Below are 21,727 nucleotides of genomic sequence, written 5' to 3'. Positions count from 1 at the left end.
CTAGCATAGAAGGTGCTTCAAAGTGATTAATAGTGGAGGTTCTGTAACTATACTGCCTTTGTTCAAATCTTTGCTACTTACTAGCTTATGTGACCTTAGACCATGTGGCTTAATTGCTCAAAGCCTCAGTATCCTAATTATATACATTGTGGTAATAATAGTACACTTCTCATAAATTTGTTCTCATAACTGTGTGAGAAAAAGATTATGATAGTGCCTGGCACAAAGTATTTAAGTATTAGCTGCCACTATTATTTTGAATATTATTGAACTCCTCCCTACCTCTTCTAGCCTCTTGTATGTCATTTCCTACGTGTATTCTTTGCTTCATCCTTATTGCAGTTCTGGCAACAGGCCACATTCCTCATGCCTAATTTTAATTTCATAAGTTAACTCAAGTAGATTCCCATCTGGGAAGGCTCTTCTACCATTTTTAAACTTCTTTTTTTACCAGACTGAGAACTACTTCAGGGCTGAGACCATATTTTTCAATTCTGCATATTCTCAGCACCTCGTAGAGAGTCTGGAATATACAGACACAATAAGTTTTGGTTGAATCTAGACTTTAGCCTCTGTAAACACAAAATAAATTGTGGTTTATGGTCTGTGACTTCTGGATGTTGGTTTGATAAACCACTGAATTCATAGCATTAGTGCGTGGAGTACAGTGGTTATTAAGTGTTTGCTAAATGAATATGATTGTGAAGAACCCAAACTTTAACTTTCAAATCACTGACCTATTTAGGGAATTTGTATTTTAATGCTCTTAGTTTTGTTTTCTAATTTATTTTAGATTTATCAATATTCAGAACTCCAATTTCTAAAACAAACAAAAGGACAAAACCCATTATCGCTGTGGCACAGTCCAGTTTGACCTTCATAAAACCATTAAAAACAGGCAAGTATTTATTATACTTAAACTCTCTGAAAACATGACATCGAATGAAGCATTAATTGCATTTCACATGGAAATGAATTGATTTTTGTTGTTGAATAACAGCCTGGAAGAATTGTTAAAGTGTGTATTAAAATGACAGGATATTGTGTCAACTTTCTGTTTGATAAAAGAAATAAAGACCAAATGTTCAATAGATCAGTAGGGTCACTATAGTAATTATTGTATATTTCAAAATAGCTAGAAGAGAATAACTGATGTTTCTAGCATAAAGAAAAGACAGATATTTGGACTGCGGGCACCCACGACCATGCCCGGCTAATTTTTTTGTATTTTTAGTGGAGACGGGGTTTCACCGTGTTGGCCGGGGTGGTCGGGCAATCTCCTGACCTCGTGATCCCTCCCCTCGCCTCCCAGGGTGCTGGGATTTCAGGCGTGAGCCACCGCGCCCGGCCAAAAACATGGGCTGTTATCCTTTGCTGTGGTAGGGAGTATGGATGAAGTGAAAGTTGGTAAAAGGATGGTCAGAGGCCGTCACTAGCCTTGGGGAGTTTTCCAAGTGGAAAATGAAAATCACTGTGACTTCGTTAAGCTCCAAGATATGCTTCTTTGTACCAATGTGGAAAATCTAAAAGAAAAACCTACACTCAGCACTATGAATGCTGTAGGTACCAAAAACTGCAGAAAATGGGCTTTACAGATCTGGGCCCAGACAACCAGCCAGTTAGTTTTCAAGAAATCTTTGAAGCCAAAAGACAAGAGTGCTATGATCAATGTCAGAGAGAAGAAGAGTTGAAACAGATTTATGCAGCGAGTCAAGGAGAAAGAAGCTGAAAAAGAGCTGCAGGACAAGTTCAAGCATCTTAAAATGATTCAACAGGAGGAGATAAGGAAGCTCGAAGAAGAGAAAAAACAACTGGAAGGAGAAATAATAGATTTTTTATAAAATGAAGGCTGCTTCTGAGGCACTGCAGACTCAGCTGAGCACCAATACAAAGAAAGACAAACATCGTAAGAAATAATCGTTTCTCTTAATTTTCTGTTTGAGAGCCCTATCATTCACATCCCAGCTTCCTGTGATTGTATTTGTAGCATTTAAATCTGATTGAAGTTCTTATTTTAAAAATTGGCTTGCTTATTGTATATTTTCCCTAACTAAAGTGTGAACTCCTAGTGGGGCGTGGTGGCTCATGCCTGTGATCCCAGCACTTTGGGAGGCTGAGGCAGGTGGACCATCTGAGGTCAGGAGTTCAAGACCAGCCTGACCAGGATGATGAGGCCCTGTCTCTGCTGGGAATACAAGAGTTGGCTGGGCTTGGTGGCCGGTACCTGTGGTCCCAGCTGCTTGGGAGGCTGGGAGAGTCACTTGGGCCCCAGAGGTGGAGGTTGCAGCGAGCCAGGTTCTTGCCATTGCACTCCAGCCTGGGCGACAAGGGCGGGACTCCATCTCAAGAAATAAAAAGGTGTGAACTCCCTGAAGACAGGTCCTGTGTCCATCTTTTCAGATTCTGTATCCTGGCACTTAGGATGTAGACTAACACGAAGATGACATTCAATCAATATTTGCCAAAATGAAAAAATAAACATGTAACATCATGTTAAAGGAGCAGTTTAGGTGGAGAAATTTCTTTACCATAGTCCTGCTTGTGGATCCAGTAGTGACTTTTACATTTTATATCTAAATAGAAGCTTGAGGCTTTGTTGGGGACTCATAGGCATAAAATATTATGTTATACAAATCTAATTAATAGGCCTATTTTCCTTTTTAAATTCTAATAATTTCTTGATAGTTTTTATTATGATAAAAGATTGGATTTTGATTAGAACTCTCATGCTTTTATGTCAGACTTAAAACTGATATTAGAATAAAGAATTCAAAAGCTAGAGAAAATCAGAGTACAATGAGAAGCCATGAGTTGCATTTGAATGATAATATTATGTCTTACAGATTTGGGGTATACGCTAAAGTTATCAAAGTTGTAAAAATAAGGCTGGGTGCAGTGGCTTACACCTGTGGTCCCAGCACTTTGGGAGGCCAAAGTGGGCGGATCACTTGAGGTCAGGAGTTTGTGACCTGCCCGGCTGGCATGGTGAAACCCCATCCCTACTGATAATGCAGAAGTTGGCTGGGCATGATGGTGTGCACCTGTAGTCCCTGCTACTCGAAAGGCTGAGGCGGGAGAGTCGCTTATACCCAGGAGGCAGAGGTGCAGTGAACAGAGATTGTGCCACTGCACTCCAGCATGAGTGACAGAGCGCTATGAGTCACTACACCTGGTATGAGCCACCATGCCCGGCCTACGATGACTTTTATACATGTTGTTAAATCATCTTACAGATTTTATAATTTGGGGGAAGAAAAATTTTACTAAATGGTCTTTTAATGGAAACTACAAGAACCAGAATCTTTGCTTTGTTCACTTAAGTGTCCATTCCTAGGCCTAGAACAATGTCTGACACATAGCGGCAATTATTCCTTGAATAAATGGACCCAGCAATAGTACATTAGCTATGCTATATGCATAAATTAAAAATGTAGATTATTGACTTTCAAAAAATAATTAATGTGACTTCTTACTGCTTCTGAACATGTTTGTGAGTTATATTGCTGAGGGACCTTTATCTTCTCATTCTTTCATCTTAATCCAATGTTATTAAAATTGAAATCACCAATATTATTCCATATCTAAAAATAATATCTACCTTATAAAAATTATCACTCTGCTGCATTTGAGAATAGACTTTTTAGGTAATAATAGTATGATCCATAGGGTTTTTTTAGGGCACAGAAGGATTCATGCTAACAGAACATTTTATTTTCTATTTTCCCAGAGCTATAAAACATGATATTATATGATAACTATAAGGCATATTTTTACTCTGTTCATATTTTTTCTAAAAAAAATTAGTGTTTGTTTCCCATATAACTTTTAATTTTATAAGTAAATATTTGTCTCTTTCAGCTCCAGTTTTATGTGAAATAGAGTTTCCAGATTTATGTAGCATGGAGAGTTTTAATAAGTCAGAGTTACTGATTTTTGCCAGTCATTTTCTCAGTTGTTAACTTCTTTTATCTTTAGTTGATTTTTTTTGTAGTGACAAGTTTTGTTTCTATTCTCATTTCCTTTTGTGTATATTCTATGTATATTTTGTTTTTGTTTACTATGAAAATTACATATAACATCCTAGAGTTATAACATTCTAATTTGAATTTATTTCAACTTAACTTCAATCACATACCAAAATTCTACTGCTATATAGCTCTACTCTTTTTAGGTTATTGATGTCACAGATTATATCTTTATTCATTGTACACCACCTAACATATTTATAATTACATTTTATGCATTTGCCTTTTAAATCATGTAGAAAATAAAAAGCGGAGTTACAAACCAAAATTACAATAATACTGTTTTTATGCTTGTTTATATATTTACCTTTACCAGAGAGCTTTATATATTCATATAGCTTGGTTATTTACTTATATAGTTACTGCCTAGAGTTCATTTATTTCAACCTGAAGGACTTTAATGCTTCTTGTATGGCAAATTTAGAGATAAATGGATTTTTTCAGCTTTAAAAAAAATCTAGAAATGTCTTAATTTCTCCCTTATTTTTGAAGGACAGGTTTTCCAGCTATCAGTTTCTCAATTGACAGGTTTCTTCATTATTTTAAATACATAATCCACTGCCTACTGGCCTTCAAGTTTTCTGCTGAGAAATCAGCTGCTAATGTTATCCAGATCCCTTGTCTGTGAGAGTTGCTCTTCTCTCTGAGCTTTCAAGATTCTCACATTGTCTTTTTGTTTTGTTTTTTGGGACAGAGTCCTGTTCTGTTGCCCAGGCTGGAGTGCAGTGGTGTGATCTCAGCTCACTGAGACCTCCATCTCTTGGGTTTGGGTGATTCTCCCGTCTCGGCCTCCCAGGTAGCTGGGGCTACAGGCATGTGCCACCATGCCCAGCTAGTTTATTTGTGTTTTTGGTAGAGACGGGGTTTTGCCATGTTGCCCAGGCTGGTTACAAACCCCTGGCCTCAAGCAATCTGCCCAGGACTACCATTTACCCAGCAATCTCATTACTTGGTAAAGACCCAAAAGAAAATAAATCATTCTACCAAAAAGGCAAAAAAAAAAAAAAAAAAAAAAAGACAGATATTTAAGGTGATGGATATCCCAAGTACCCTGACCTGATTTGTATAAATTCTATGAATATATTATCACATGTACCACAAAATTGTGTACATCTATTATGCATCAATTATAAAAAAGATATTCTATCAGACTTTAATGTAGTTGATTCATGGTGGTTTAGTGTTAAATAACCAGGAAATATCGCTTTACTTTTCCCCATTTTGCTCTGATTACATTTCTTACCCAAAATGCTTTCAGCTCTTTCCTGCAAGTAGTAGAAAAGCAAATATTGTTCAGTGTTTTAAAGATGGTATTGCTAGTAAAAATGACTTTTGCTGTATATTGTACAATAAGTTAAAGGAAATTTTGTTATGCAGTAACCTAATTGTATTCTTAGATATTCCCAGACACCCGATGCCATTTGCTGCAAAAAACATGTTTTATGATGAACGCTGGAAGGAAAAGCAGGAACAGGGCTTCACTTGGTGGTTAAATTTTATATTAACCCCTGATGACTTCACTGTAAAAACAAATATTTCTGAAGGTAAACGTTAAATTAATGTTTAAATTTAATAATACTTTTAACAGATAAAGATTTTTAACATCGTTTGTCATTCTTTAATTATACATAGTTATTATAATTAATGGCATAATTCCCTGTTCATTAGCCTAAATGCTTGTATAGGTAAGAATTTTTATTTACATAAATTTATATATGTACATTTTCTTTACCGAAAGTACTGAAATATACTTTTTGTTCTCTATTCTCTCTCATCAGTCAATGCAATCAGTCCCGTGTGGCCTGCCCACTTTGGGCATATTGTCCCCACTGTTCAATACCTTAGTTTAAGAAGTATGTTGGAAAGCTATAGGATTATGAGGAAACTAAACACCAATTCATATGAGGAATTTTTAAACATTTCAGTGTTTGTTCTGGAAAAGAGAAAACTTGGGAAAGGGACCAGGTAGAGATGTGCCTTTCAAACATTTGAAGTGTTTTCTTGTGAAAGAGAAGGAAACTTAACTTTTGTGCAGCTCTTGCTTAGAAATTATAGGGATCAATTTCAGCTGAAGATAAGGAAAAATTCTTATGAATGTTTAAATTGTCAAATCATCATATAGGCTAACTTTTAAAGTGATGATTTTCCTATTCTGGTGTTCAGACAGACACTGATTTATTTTTGTCAGAGAAGCGCGTGTATAGGATTTTTTTTCTTTTTTGCTGTTGGAGACAAGGTCTCACTCCCTCACCCAGTCTGGAGTGCATTGGTGTGATCACAGGTCACTGCAGCCTCCACTTCCCAGGCTCAAGCAATCTTGCTCCCTCAAACTCCTGAGTAGTTGTGACTACCAGTGCACGCCACCATGCCTGGCTAGTTTTTTTTTTTTATTATTTTTTATTTTTGAATAGAAGAGTTCTTGCTATGTTGCCAGAGTTGGTCTTGAACTCCTAGGCTCGAGGAATTCACTTGCCTTGGCCTCCCAAAAGGCTGGGATTACAGGTGTGAGCAATTGTACCTGGCTGGATTTTTGTATTAAAAGGGTCTTTGAATTAGATGCTCTCTAAGCAGTGATCTTAGAGATCACTTAAAAAAAAAGAAAAAAGTTGTTTCTTTTCCAAAAGGGAGCAAAGCCCCATTTTTCGTTCTTTTCTTAAAAGAAAATGTGTTTTATAAAAGATTAAATTACATTTCAAAATTCAATTGGTTTTTAAAAATTATATTCCTTAGAAACTTGACTTTTATTAATTTATAAAAAGGATGGGAACAGATAAACCAGTGAGGAAGTTAATTCATTAGTCCGGATTAGAGATAATCATGTTTGAATTTGTGATAGTAGAGGCGGTGAAAAGTGGCTAGACTTGGAATACATTTTGCAGGTAGAGCTAACAGGTTGCGATGATAGATTGGCCTAAGGAGTAAGCTTGGAGTGGGTGAGGAATAGATTATGTTTTTACCGTCTGAAATTGCATTTTATTGCTGGATTTAAGAATATGTAGAGATATTGTTTAACCAGAAACATTCTTTCTTTTGTTTTTACCCAGTAAATGCTGCTACTCTTCTTTTGGGAATAGAGAATCAACATAAAATAAGTGTTCCTAGAGCACCTACAAAAGAGGAAATGTCTCTCAGAGCTTATACTGCTCGGTGTAGGTTAAACAGACTACGTCGTGCAGCATGCCGTTTGTTTACTTCTGAAAAAATGGTTAAAGCTATTAAAAAGCTTGAAATTGAAATTGAAGCTAGGCGGTTAATTGTTCGAAAAGATAGACACCTATGGAAAGATGTGGGTAAGAAGACTGCAGAAATCTTGACATTAATTCTTTAAAAACATTCAAGAGATTTTGTGTTTTTTTCCCCCGGCTTTATTGACATATAATTGACAGGTAAAACTGGCATATATTTAAGGTATACAACATGATGTTGATATATGTATATATTATTAAATGATTATAACAATCAAGCTAATTAATGTATCTACTCACATAGTTACCTTCTTGTGTGTATGTGTGGTGAAAACATTTAAGAAGTACTCTCAGCAAATTTCAAGTATACAAGTCACTGTTATTAACTATAGTCGTCATGGTGTACATTCGATCTCCAGAATTTATTCATCCTGCGTAACTGAGACTTTATACTCCTTTGACAACATCGCCCCAGTCCCTCTACCCCATTCTCTGGCAACCACCATTCTCTGTGCTTCTATAAATTCAACTTGTTTAGATTTCACATATAAATGAGATCATACAGTATTTGTTTTTCTATGCTTAGGCTATTTCAGTTTGCATAATATCCTCCAGATTGATCCATGTTATCACAAGTGACAGGATTTTCATTTTTAAGACTGAATAGTACTTCATTATATATAAATATATATATATTTATCATATATATTTATTTGTATATATACGTACACACACATACACATACCCCACATTTTCTTTATCCACTTATTCACTAATGGACACTTAGATTGATTCCATATCTTGGATATTGTGGATAATGCTGCAATGAACATAAGAATGCAGGTATCTCTTCCAGATACTGATGTCCCCAAGAGATTTTGTATTTCAAAACTAGGTATACATGCTTTAGCTTTGCTGCCAAAAATCCCACATACTTGAATATGATCATGTATATTTAAGACTATAAGTGTATTTTATTTAAATTAACTTATTTCATATAAGCAAGTATTTTTTTCCCACTGATATACTCTCCTTGAAGTTTTATTTCTTGTCTCTATTTGATTATCAATTTGAACTTATTTGCCTTTGACATGCATTTCAGGAGAACGTCAGAAAGTCCTGAATTGGCTGTTGTCCTACAATCCTTTGTGGCTTCGAATTGGTCTAGAGGTAAGCATATATTTCAGGTTTCTAAAATAATATTTTTTTATTATATACTTTTTGTAGAATAGACTCATTTTATTACAATGTAGTTTTACTTATAAAAGTTGAAAGTCATTAGGTTAGCTTGATTCATCTTTTAGTATAAAATGTAATACCCGTTAATAAATGCTTATTAGGTAAATAGACTATGCCATTATATATTATTACACCATATTGTAATACAACATTTTACTGTACAGTCTCTTTAAACATAATTTGGTGTTGCACGTAATGACAACTATAGTAAACTCATTTTTGCAAATTTACAAATGCCAAAACGAGGCTGCTGTGAATACATTTTCTAATTTAAATTTCTTAAAACCCAGTGAAGTATGTATTATTATTTCCACTTCACTAACGAAACAGAAGCTTAGATGTTAAAGTGACTTGCCCTGGCCAGGTGTGGTGGCTCATGCTGTAATCCGAGCACTTTGGGAGACTGAGGTGAGCTGATCGTGAGGTCAGGAGATGGAGACCATCCTGGCTAACATGGTGAAACCCTATCTCTACTAAAAATACAAAAAAATCAGCCAGGCGTGATGGTGGGCGCGTGTAGTCCCAGCTACTTGGGAGGCTGAGGCAGGAGAATGAGGGGAACCCGGGAGGTGGAGCTTGCAGTTAGCCGAGATCGCACGACTGCACTCCAGCCTGGGCCTGGGTGACAGAGCGAGACTCCTTCTCAAAAAAAAAAAAAGTGACTTGCCCTATGCCAATTATTTGGTCAGGAGTTGAACCTATACCAATCTGATTAAATAGTACTCATAAAAATGTCATCAGGATTTGCATTCTTTACATAGTTCTTGGCTCTGTAATACCTAGAATGTTGAAACTGACTGAATTAGAAAGATACTATTAGTAATTGGCTGTTTAAAGACATTTTTATTAAAAGTATCTTTTGTGCGTCTGTATTCTTTAGTTTTTTGCTAGTATGCTTTCACATTTTTTCTAGGTTTCTTACCTTCTTAATGTAGGGTCTCCCATTACTATTTCAGTTTATTCCAGGTTTTGGAATAGAAGAGTCTTTGGGACCGAACAGGATCTTTGTAATAATCTGGCTTTTATATACCAATAAATTGAGGCCCAGAGAGAATAAATAATAAGCTTACTGTGGTTACACAGCATTGTGGTGTCATTGCTGGGATTTCTTATTTCAATTCCAGTGTCCTTTCCCTTTAAATAGTTGGCAAGTTACAGATCAACTAGCTCTGCTTCACATATGAAAGAATTCTGGAACCTCAATTGAAATAGAGCCCCCCATATTTGGGACATAGCTTTTTTGTGGCAAAAATAAAATCAAGAACTTTGTGTGGAACCTTGCAATGCTTTTTAAAACCTCTTGGATGTAATTTGTATCATCTCCACCCACATTCCATTGGCCAAAGCACATTATGTAGCTAAGCACAAACTAGTTAGGAATGTATTAACCTCCCACAAGTCACAGCAAATTTATGGCAGGTGGTGGGGATGTATAATCTTTTTACAGGTACCTTATTACTACACCCTAGGATTCTTTAAATAAATGTACGTGAGGATTTTAAGAAAATTTCAAAGGCCAAAAAAAGTAAATAAAGTTAAATTCCTCTATTTTGGTAGGTAATAATTAATACTTTTCCATGCTTTAATCTTTATATTTTGTCAATGTAGGGTTGCAGAATTTGATATTTTTTAAGTTTTTCCTAATTGCTTTAAAAATTATTAATAAGCATGCTAATGTTAAACTAATTTTATATTTAAATCATTGATTATAAACAGACCTGTGCTTTCCAAATTATCTTGGATGATTTGCAGATGTTTTCTACATTGATAACTATCATAAAAATTTGAATATTTAGGTTTCTGTTATAACTTCACGATGTACTTAATGGGACAGTTATAAATAAATTTGAACAACATGCCTATATTTGATAGTTCTTTAACTTAAATGAAAAAATTAAAATGGGAATGTTGCTCGTCAGATGATTAAGACTTATCTTAGTCCTGAGCTTTGTCTTTTTGCATTGCAACGTATACTATATACAATAAGATATACATAAATCATATATGCATAGTTTAAAGAAGTTATTTAGCAAATAACCATGTCATTTAGAAAGTAGAACATTGCCAGTTCCTTAGGTTATGGTCTGCCATTCCTCAGTCACTTCCCTTTGTTTCTTAGAGATAGCATAATTCTGACTTTGGCTTTAATTTATTTTCAGACAACTTATGGAGAACTCATATCTTTGGAAGATAACAGTGATGTCACAGGGTTGGCTATGTTTATTCTGAATCGCCTACTTTGGAATCCTGATATAGCAGCTGAGTATAGACACCCCACTGTTCCTCACCTGTATAGAGATGGTAAGTATCTCTGCCTCTCCTACATTCTCTCCACATTATACATGAATGGCTTATTGTCATTCTTCCTGTTTCTGTTTACATTTTCCTTTCTCAAAGAAACCAATCTAAATAAGTCTCTGCTTCTAGTACTCTCCCTTCCTCCACCCTCATTCCCCGTTAATTCCTCCATCACTATTTATAATTCTATCTGTTGTCTCTACCCATCCTCTCCCCCCAGTAGGTTGTAAGTCCTATGGGGGTCATGTTTGTTGTAATTTGGTACTGTATATCTAACACCTACGATGGTGCCTGCATGTAGTAGGTGTTCATTAAATATTTGTTGAGTAAGACCAACTAAATCTCTTGATGCCTCTGTGCCTGTTTCCTCATCTATGAATTGAAAATATTAAGTGGTGCATACTTGTCCCATAGAGATATTGGGAGGATTAAATGGATTTATACACATAAAGCACTAAAAAAGGCACATAGTGTTTTATTTGTGCTTGCTACCCTACACTTTTTGTTTTACTAACACCTTATTATTATTATTATCATATTTTAAGATGAAACCTACCTTTCATAGATTAACTTGCTGTGCTTTTTTGTACTTTATTTAAGGTCATGAAGAAGCTTTGTCCAAGTTTACATTGAAAAAGTTATTGTTGTTGGTCTGTTTTCTTGATTATGCTAAAATTTCCAGACTCATTGATCATGATCCTTGTCTCTTCTGTAAAGATGCCGAATTCAAGGTATGCTTTTCATTGTATGCTTTATATTTTATATTTCCCATTTACGACTTTTGCTTGCTTTCATGGTATGTTTTCTCTTTAGAAAAAAAATTAGTTTTCCAAAGAATAATACTCAGAGGAGTAAAATAGGAATGCCTGTCTGGTGAGTCCCATCAGTAATTCTAACCATCCCTCGTTTTTATTGGTTTACCTTTCATCAGCACATTATCATTACTCTTAATTTTGACTTGAAAATGGATTAAACTATGCTTCTGAAGATTTAATTTTTGAGAAAATTTCTTCCCTAATTTTGATGTAGTATATAATCAAGTTAATGCTAGTTTTTATAGTGTATTATTATGAGCAACTTTTAGAAAGATCTTAAGTTGGAAATATGTATGAAGTTTGCATTATTAATGTATAATATGAAACTTTTTATATTATTTTATTTTTATATGTACAGAATGATTTGGAGGATTTGTTTTTATTATAAGCAAAATTATAATATTGGAATATAATATCTGGAACTTATTTCTTTATAGGCTAGTAAAGAAATCCTTTTGGCTTTTTCACGAGATTTCCTAAGTGGTGAAGGTGACCTTTCCCGTCACCTTGGCTTATTGGGATTACCTGTTAACCATGTTCAGACACCATTTGATGAATTTGATTTTGCCGTTACAAATCTTGCCGTAGACTTGCAATGTGGAGTGCGCCTTGTGTACGTATAAGAAATAGAATTATTTTGCTTAATGGAATAGACTAACATTTTCTGGAAAACACTTTTTTTGTAATTATTCAATCTTGCTCTTTCAAGTAGTACAATAAATTTAGTACTGAAAAAAATTGAGGTTTTTTTTTTTTTTTCAGGGAAGTGGTACATCAATGTTATGTCCAGAAACCTTGTCTCCTATCCACACCTTTTTTCCTGATGGCATGTGACTGGGACTCATGGATAATAATTACTGATGTCTCAGAATAGGAGTTGGGAAGACCATTAAACTAATTAAAATATCAAACATTGAAATAACACTTTTTTTTTTTTTTGAGACGGAGTCTTGCTCTGTTGCCCAGTCTGGAGGGCACTGGCAAGGTCTCGGCTCACTGCAAGCCTACCTCCTGGGTTCACGCCATTCTCCTGCCTCAGCCTCCGGAGTAGCTGGGACTGCAGGTGCCCACCACCACGCCCAGCTAATTTTTTGTATTTTTAGTAGAGACGGGGTTTCACCGTGTTAGCCAGGATGGTCTCGATCTTCTGACCTCGTGATCCGCCTGCCTCGGCCTCCCAAAGTTCTGGGATTACAGGCATGAGCCACCGTGCCTGGCCAAAATGACACTTTTTATTGACAGTGGTTTCATGAATTTTATATCATTTGAGACCATTTTTAGTAGTATTAACCTTGTTTTACATATGAGGAAAATAAGATGAAGTGGTAGAATAGATTGCCCAAGTTTTCCACAGTGGAATTGAGACATAAACTCATGAAATCTGACTTCAAATTACACAATATTTCCTCAATAACAAACTGGAATGCTCAAAATTGGCTTTGGTATGTATGATGGATAGCCAGTTTTGCTTAGAAGGAATGGCCTTTAGCATTTTGCCATGATTGGCCTCTTCAGGGTATCTGGGTTGGAGATACTCATTTTATTTCTAGGGAACTCTCCAAAATATATATTATATCCTTATCAAGGAAGCACTTTTGGGGTCAAGGCAAGAGATTTCTTTAAAGCAATGAAAGTTTTTTTCTCTGTGTATTTAGGAAGTTGCTATGCCTCAAAACAGCTAGTTAAATGTTGACGTATGGGGAGCACAGATTTAATGGTCTTTATAAAATATCTCTGCTACAGTAAAACTTAACAAACTCTTTAGCTGACCCTGGTACATTTTTGTCAGATTTTAAATTGCTTGTATTGTAGCTAAAATTAATTGCAGGCAGTCTTCATGTTAAAATTCATGTTGTCTAAAACTCAACTGAATAGGAAAGAAGCTATTTGGATATACTTTTTAATTTCTTTGTTTCGACTAGAGATAACTTTAGAGTATAAACTAGAAAACCTTATATCCATGTTTCATGGAGACCAATTGAAAGAACTGTGAATATTTAGAGAAATAGAACAGAAGAGAAAACTCTGGGGCATAAATGTTTTAAGATATTTGAAGAACTGTCTTATAATAAAAGGTGATTAAATTGTTTATTGCCAAGCAAAATAAGTATGCATGAACAATGAAAATTTCAGGAAGATGAATGTGGGTTTGGTTTAAAAACTTGCCAATATTCAGACGTGTCTTTATCAAACAACCAGTTCACAGTGTTGGAAGGTTCAAGCAGAGGTCAGAGGACCGCTTGGCCAGAATGGAGGAATTCTTTGACATTTATGAGGACAAGATCCTAGATTTTTATGAATCTCCGGTTTTTGAAAAACAGTTTACATGTCCCTTGCCTTCTTTTAGGCTAAATTTCCATGAACATTCTTTTCTTTCTGATCAGTATTCTCACAAGTTAATAGTCTTTTTACTGCAGCTTTGTCTCACTTTAGCAGTTCCATATGAGCTAAGATCATTTTGCTTAAAATATTTCACATTTTTTTAGTTGGTTAATTTGTTTATTTAATAAATTCAAGCTACCACATCAATATTCTGGCCAATAGGAATTGTTTTTATACTTTTTCCACTTTCTAGGAGGAACAAGGATTGGTTTAATGTTCAGTGCTATTTTTCCACAAAGAAAGTCCCCCTCCCTTTTTTTTTTTTTTTTTTTTTTTTTTTTGAGACAGAGTCTCACTCTGTCACCCAGGCTGGCGTGCAGTGGCACGATCTCGGCTCACTGCAGCCTCTGCCTCTGTGTTCTAGCGATTCTCCTGCCTCAGCTCCATGAGTAGCTGGGACTATAGGTGTGCACCACCATGCCTATTTAATTTTTGTATTTTCAGTGGAGACGGGGTTTCACCATGTTGGTCAGGCTGGTCTTGAACTCCTGACCTCAGGTGATCCACCCACCTCAGCCTCCCAAAATGTTGGGATTACAGGCGTGAGCCACCGCGGCTGGCCAGAAAGCCCATTTTTATGCTTTTACAGGAGTTACTGAGGATTTAGCACTGTTGGATGTTGATGTTATTTAGTCGGTTAGGAATTCTAAGTAGTTAAGAGATCAATCTTGTATAACCAAATTTCTGTTTTGATAAGTGTCAGCAAAATGACTGTTTTATAAATCTTTGAAGTCACTTGAGAATGCTTTGGGATGGTTACTCTATTAATGCCATGGGTGATGGGTTGGTCTACAATTGACTGGATGGTTGGCCTAGAATTATCTTAAGTCTCTTTCTAGCCTTTAGAGACTATGGTTGTATAAGTAATTCTACCAGCTTTTTGTTGAAGACAGAAATCAGTTGGGGTTTGCTTTTTCTGTCTTTGTTAGGTAGATACTCAAATATTCGTGCGTGTATATATACATATATTTTTATATATATATAGGAATTACTGTGGAAACAAGTAAAACTGGATTTTAGTTCTCATCTTAGTTTTGCCATTACCAGCTCTATGACCATAGGCAATTCATTTAAGCTCTATGGGCCTTAGTTTCTTTATCTAACAATAATTAATTGTGCGCTTTACCATGATAACTAAAATAAGAAAATAAAGCACTTGCTTGATGTGTACAATATAGTACATCCCAATAAATGTGCTTCCTCTCTGCTCTACATCCCTCTCCTCTCTTTTCTGTCCTTTCCTTTCTTTCTCTTTTCTGTAGAGCCCTATTATTTTGTTGATGTGTGCATTTATATATGTATATCTTATTTTCTTATCATCTGTTCACACACTTCAATCCCAAACTTAAAATAAGAACTCTACTTGCCGACTATGGAGCAACAGAGTTTTGAGATAGTTTTTTGAAGTCTTTCTGATCATAAAGCCCTGTAACTGTTGGGATTTATGTGGGAAATAACTATATTTCAGTGAAGGGTTTTTTCATATACGTTTTTATGATAATTTCATCTGAACATTTTATTACTGCCAGGCGAACCATGGAACTTCTCACACAGAACTGGGACCTCTCAAAGAAACTCAGGATTCCGGCAATAAGTCGTCTTCAAAAGATGCACAATGTTGACATTGTTCTTCAAGTTCTTAAATCACGAGGAATTGAATTAAGTGATGAGCATGGTAAAAACTGAGTAGAGGTAAAACTTATTCTCCTCACTGAATATTGATATGTGCGTACATTATGCTAATGGACAACCTTTTCTTTTATAGGAAATACAATTCTATCTAAGGATATTGTGGATAGGCACAGAGAAAAAACTCTCAGGTTGCTTTGGAAAATAGCGTTTGCTTTTCAGGTATTATACATTTGGTACATCTTGTATTTTTTATCAATTTTGATTACTGATTTATAAAAACAATTTGAATCTAATAAAGAATAACAACAACAACCATCATTTAATAAGGTTTATTTTGCCCCAGTAACTGTGATAAATGCTATATATATATATGTATATATATGTGTATATATATATATATTTCAATCTAATCTTCACCACACCTGCAAAGTAGGTGTTATGTCTACCTCTCAGATGAGGAAACTGAAACTACAGTTTACATCATTGATAAATCCCATGGGCCCCAAATCCCATGTTCTTAACCACTAAACATTTTATCACTTCAGTGTAGATGGTGTTTGCCTTTGGGGAAAAAAAAAGCGACTGTTTTGTACTAAAATATCCATTTCAGGCACTTTATTTTCTTTGATTTTTTTAACTTCCTGGTTTAAAACATCTACAGTTTCTCTAAATAGAAGACAGTTACTTTGATTTCTGTGGGTTAAAAATAATCTATGGAAAATATGAAGGTATTTATCTTTTTTTGTGTTTGTTTTAGGTGGATATTTCCCTTAACTTAGATCAATTAAAGGAAGAAATTGCCTTTCTAAAACACACAAAGAGTATAAAGAAAACAATATCTCTACTATCATGCCATTCTGATGATCTTATTAATAAGAAAAAAGGCAAAAGGGATAGTGGTTCCTTTGAACAATATAGTGAAAACATAAAGTTATTGATGGATTGGGTAAATGCTGTTTGTGCCTTCTATAATAAAAAGGTAAGTTTCTTTGTTTTTTGTTTTAACCCAATATATTTTAATAAATTTTGATGAAAGTCACTTAAACTTAATGCCTGAAGTCTTTTCTTGAATTTCTTAGTTCATCTGTGTAAGCAAACTTTCCCTCAAATGAGTGAATGTTTTATCATACACTGTATTTCATCTAATCTATCACCAATTGTGTGATACATGATAATTTTATCAAGAAAAGAAAAATATGCCCTAGATGGAAGTCTTAGTAGAAGATGCTTGCATAGAACTGGGACATAAAAGAATCATATCATTATTATAAAGTTCAATTCAAATAAGCCCACATTCAGAAAGGGACAACTAAGAACTTACCACTAGTTAGAGGAAGAAGAACAAAATTTGAGTCTCTCTATAATCATTTGTTAGGTTAACACTGTATTTCTGTATGAAGTATACTTCTTAGTGTAAATATATGAAAAAAATTTCCCCTAAACACGTGGATAAACTATCTGGTAATAAATATAAGACAGAAACAGTGATACACAGTATGTATAGCTAAATATGGTAAGCCTTGCAATATGATTATACCAAGAAGTTATTAGTACAAAAATTGTTAAACATATGGATAATCTTCTATGTTTTAACTAAATACTAGAGAGCCAAAGTTGATCATCGGTATTAATTAATTCCATATTTGGAATTTGCATACTAGCTAAAATTTCTTTTTAATGCCAAAATTAGTAGTTGCAGTATTTTGTGGTCATTTATTGACGTGTGTGAATGCCTGGGCCCTCATAGCCAGCTGATGTCAAACAAGGTGGTGCTCTTTTTGTTTCAGCTCTTATACTGTAAACAAGCGTCCTTTTCAGGACCTATTTAGCATTGTACTTTTTTGCATTTTTGTGCTTTTTGTTGGTGAGTTCCCTGTTTAAAATGGCTTTCAAGTGTAGTAATGAAGCCCTGTCTAGTGTTCTTAGGAGAAGACTGTGATGTGCCGTATACAGAAAATATATGCGTTAACTAATTTTAATGCAGGCGTGAATTATAATGCTGTTGGCCATGAGTTAGTGTTATTGAATCAGAAACACCTGTGAACAAGGTTATGTGCGGATTGGTTGATAAACATATTATAACCAGAGGCTCACAGGACACTAACCTTATATTTCTCCTCTATGCAATGGTTCAATATTCACAAATAACGAGAATCCACTCTCATTGCTTGTTGTTGTAGTTTCCTAAGACTACCATAGCAAATTACAGCAAACTAGGTGGCTTAAAGTAGAAATTTATTCTCTCACAGTTCCAGAGGTTAGAAGTCTGAAATCAAGGTGTTGGATGTGCCATGCTCTCACATAAAGTTCTAGGGGATACTCTTTTATTTTTTTCTTTTAAATTTTAGAGTTTACCAGTCAAACTTGCCATTACTTGCCTTGTAGATTTGTCACTCCAGTCTCTGCCTTTATTATTCACAGGTATTCTGCAAACCATTATGTCTATACTACTTTCTAAATGCGGTTAATTGTTTTTCTGGCATTTTCAATCAGGTGGAGAATTTTACAGTGTCTTTCTCAGACGGCCGTGTGTTATGTTACCTGATCCACCATTACCATCCTTGCTATGTGCCATTTGACGCTATATGTCAGCGTACTACTCAAACTGTGGAATGTACGCAAACTGGTTCAGTGGTATTAAATTCATCATCTGAATCTGATGACAGTTCTCTGGATATGTCTCTTAAAGCATTTGATCATGGTTAGTCCCTTTTGGTTACTTTTCCAATTTTTTGCCATGTCTGATTTGAAGCTACGGCTAATTTCTCCTTTCCTCCTGCATAATAGAAAATACTTCAGAGCTATACAAAGAGCTCCTAGAAAATGAAAAGAAAAATTTTCACTTGGTTAGGTCTGCAGTTAGAGACCTTGGTGGAATACCTGCTATGATTAATCATTCAGATATGTCAAATACAATTCCAGATGAAAAGGTAAGTAAAAGAAGAGTTTCTAATTATTAATTCAATAATAAAGTCTCAGAAGATGATAGTAAGTACTGTATTCTCTGTTGATATTCTGTTTTTATCTTTTGTGGGTTTTTTTTAGGTGGTTATTACCTATTTGTCATTTCTTTGTGCAAGGCTTTTGGATCTTCGTAAAGAAATAAGAGCTGCTCGACTCATACAAACAACATGGAGAAAATATAAACTAAAAACAGATCTCAAACGCCATCAGGTACTCCTAGAATATGAAACTACTATAGTGTGAATTATACTTTAGAAGGTATTTGTTGATTGATTTTTGATATGATTTTACATTTTATGGATGTATGGCATTATTAAGATAAATTTAGTAATTGTGTATATGTATTTTGGGTTGGGGAGGTATGAGTATTTCTCCCTAATTGCTAATATTCCCTTCATTTGATGTATCTTCCAGTCTGTCCACCCCTTCACCTAGTCTGTTCCAGGGGAAGAGGAATAACTTAATCTGCTTTTTAAATTTGTGAGGAATACATAGCTCACATTGACTCAGCTCTTCCTTTCCTCCTGTTGGAATCTAACCTGCCTCTGGAGAGCAGGAGCTTTCCATTAATTTTTTATTCTGTGCTGTATGAGGCTTGACCTCAACTAGTGCTGCCTGGGCCTGAGCATCAAGTGTCTGATTTTGTGATTTAACTAGTAAGCTTAGTTTGTTTGCCATGAAGCTGTCTTCTACTTTATCCTTTATTAGTTTTAAAAGTGGTATTTTGGTTTCTGCTATTAATTTTTCAAAATGTTAGGATCTGGGCATGAGAATAGAGATGTTATTTATTGTTTCCCTTTGTGACCCCAATAGTACAAAAATTTCATTAATGTAAAAAATTTTTTTCTTAAGTTCTGAGAAAATTGTTATTTTTAATAATCTAAGAAACGGCCTCCTTGATCAAGTTGAACAAACTATTTCACTCTTTTTGTCACCCTATTCCATCTACTAACTAATATTGTGTTTATTTATTTGGAAAACCAAAAAAAATAAAATAAAACAAGCATCCATGCCTGGTAAAATTTATCATAAATATTTCAGAAATACATTCCACCCAATATTCCTTCTCAACTTTGAAATATAATGCATCTGTGATAAAGTTCTTGGTAGCTGTGTAAAACAGATAAATTTTGACAACTTTCAAACACAATATGTGTTTTTTCATTTCACACCAGACTTGGAAATAAGACTAATTGAAATAATTTTCTTTTCCCCTACTCAAACTCTTCATAGTAAAGTTTGGGAAATAGGCAGGGTCTTAACACTCACAAATGGTCTTTTCTGCTACTGTATATGCTGTGTGCCCTATAGTGCCCCTAAACTCAGGATCTGCCTCCCTGCCTACATATCACTTGGAGAATAACTTCCTGAAAACTTTCCTAAAGCAATTCCCCTAGAAGCTTCCAATACTTCTAGGGGAATTGGAAGAGTTCAGAAAAGTGTCTCCCCTGGCCAGTCCTCAAGCTATTTGATTCACCCATTGTATATTGCATTAAATGAGAGTTTTAGAATTACAAGAGATAGATATATATGTATTCTGCTTTTATTTTCTGCTCAAGATAGCCTTGTATTAATCAGATTTTTTTTTTCTTTTGGAGACAAGGTCTCACTCTGTCACCCAGGCAGGAGTGCAATAGCACGATCTTGGCTCACTTCAGATTTTGTCTCTTGGGTTCAAGCCATTCTTGTGCCTCAGCCTCCTGAGTAGTTGGGATTATAGGTGCATGCCACCACACCCAGCTAATTTTTGTATTTTTTGTAGAGACAGGATTTCACCCCATTGCCTAGGCTGGTCTTAAACTCCTGCCTCAAGTGATCTGCCTGACTCTGTCTCCCACAGTGCTGGGATTATATGCATGAGCCACTGCACCCAGCCTTAGTCTGATATTAACTGTAGAATTTTCTCAGCTTTTTGCTAGTGAGATCCCTTTTCTTGATTTATTTCCTTAATGCAAATAGAAGTTTCCATTTTTTTGAAGGATTAAGAGAAGTTTTTTTGAAGAATTAAGAGAAGTTTCTATACTTATGGTTAAACTTCTTGGACCCAGTCAGACCACTGTTTCTCTCCTTTTTCTTGGTGACCATACTCCCTCTTTTATACAATTACCTCACATCCAATTATATCTTTCCGTTTTCTATTTAGAACATTAAGCAGCAGGCTCCCTATGTTATTGCAAGCTACTAAACATATTAACTTGAGATAGCTATTTTTCAGGTTTTATATTTTGCTTTTATGTTATAATTCATATAAATCTATTAATGGAGTGGCTCAAACTTTTATTATGACAAAGAAACTTTGTCAAGTAGCTAAAATTACCTGATGAACTATTGAAGCATCCCCTGGTACATTACAGCTCTCAGTTCTTCCTGTCAACAAATAGCCATAAACTCCAAAGCAAAAGAAGTCCTAGAATTTGGCCCTATATATATGAGGCAAGATAAAAGAAATAAGCTGGTACCTGGCTGACTCAACAACAGTCTGATTAAAAAGGGTCAATGACCATACATGGAAACTTTTATCATCAGTATATGTAATTTTCAAATACTTGCTAAATTTGGTAATATATTTGCCTCTTCTAATTTATTTACTTTCCATCTTTAAATTCTCTAATGGCATGTAAAGTTGTATTTTAGTTCTATAGAGATGATCTAAAAACTGAGATAAGTTACAATTTACTTTAGCCTATTTTGTCCATGAATGCCCTGACCCTTACAACTTTTGTCTCAAATGCAATATACTTCTGAACTGCAACATTTGAAAATTTTATTTGTGTATTTATTTATTTACTGTAACAGGGTTGTGCTTTTAACTTGAGCCTCTACAGTCCTAAAGCCCATAGGTTTCACAAGGGCATTGATAATGGTGTTAGATGACTTAATCAACTTGTTATATACATAATTCCCCTAGCCCGATTTTGGAATTGTCTACTCTTTCTCCCCAGAGGAATGATCCAATATATAGCACTTACCATTCCTTAGTATTTATGTTTCAATCTATTGGTCACCTTTTTTATATGTAAAAATAACAGTTTGATTATTTCCATAGTTGTTTCCCCTATTGCACAATTTTCATGCACAGATACCAACCACTGATTGTTATTAATTAATAATTGGAATTATAGCTAATCTCTGTGTAGAGCCTACCCTTGCATGGTGGACGGTCCCAGACAGCAACACAAAAAGCTGC

The 21,727-nt window shown here is 35.0% G+C and overlaps 1 protein-coding gene and 1 pseudogene across 2 annotated transcripts in view; both read left to right on the top strand.

The window, feature by feature from the left end:
* Positions 1 to 21,727, top strand: part of ASPM (assembly factor for spindle microtubules) — a 62,543-nt gene that overhangs the window by 6,005 nt on the left and 34,811 nt on the right. For both annotated transcript variants that reach the window (NM_001206846.2, NM_018136.5), the window contains exons 4-16: positions 794 to 898; positions 5,423 to 5,569; positions 7,070 to 7,315; positions 8,313 to 8,380; positions 10,609 to 10,750; positions 11,348 to 11,478; positions 12,000 to 12,175; positions 15,474 to 15,619; positions 15,710 to 15,795; positions 16,334 to 16,555; positions 18,070 to 18,277; positions 18,364 to 18,506; positions 18,622 to 18,750. In NM_001206846.2, the coding sequence (NP_001193775.1) occupies positions 794 to 898; positions 5,423 to 5,569; positions 7,070 to 7,315; positions 8,313 to 8,380; positions 10,609 to 10,750; positions 11,348 to 11,478; positions 12,000 to 12,175; positions 15,474 to 15,619; positions 15,710 to 15,795; positions 16,334 to 16,555; positions 18,070 to 18,277; positions 18,364 to 18,506; positions 18,622 to 18,750 (1,949 nt within the window). The remainder of the gene's footprint in view (positions 1 to 793; positions 899 to 5,422; positions 5,570 to 7,069; positions 7,316 to 8,312; positions 8,381 to 10,608; positions 10,751 to 11,347; positions 11,479 to 11,999; positions 12,176 to 15,473; positions 15,620 to 15,709; positions 15,796 to 16,333; positions 16,556 to 18,069; positions 18,278 to 18,363; positions 18,507 to 18,621; positions 18,751 to 21,727) is intronic.
* On the top strand, positions 1,358 to 2,117 carry SEPTIN14P12 (septin 14 pseudogene 12; annotated as a pseudogene).

Source organism: Homo sapiens, chromosome 1, assembly GCF_000001405.40.
Source record: "Homo sapiens chromosome 1, GRCh38.p14 Primary Assembly".
Classification (NCBI taxonomy): Eukaryota; Metazoa; Chordata; class Mammalia; order Primates; family Hominidae; genus Homo; species Homo sapiens.
This window is presented reverse-complemented; position numbering and strand designations above follow the sequence as displayed.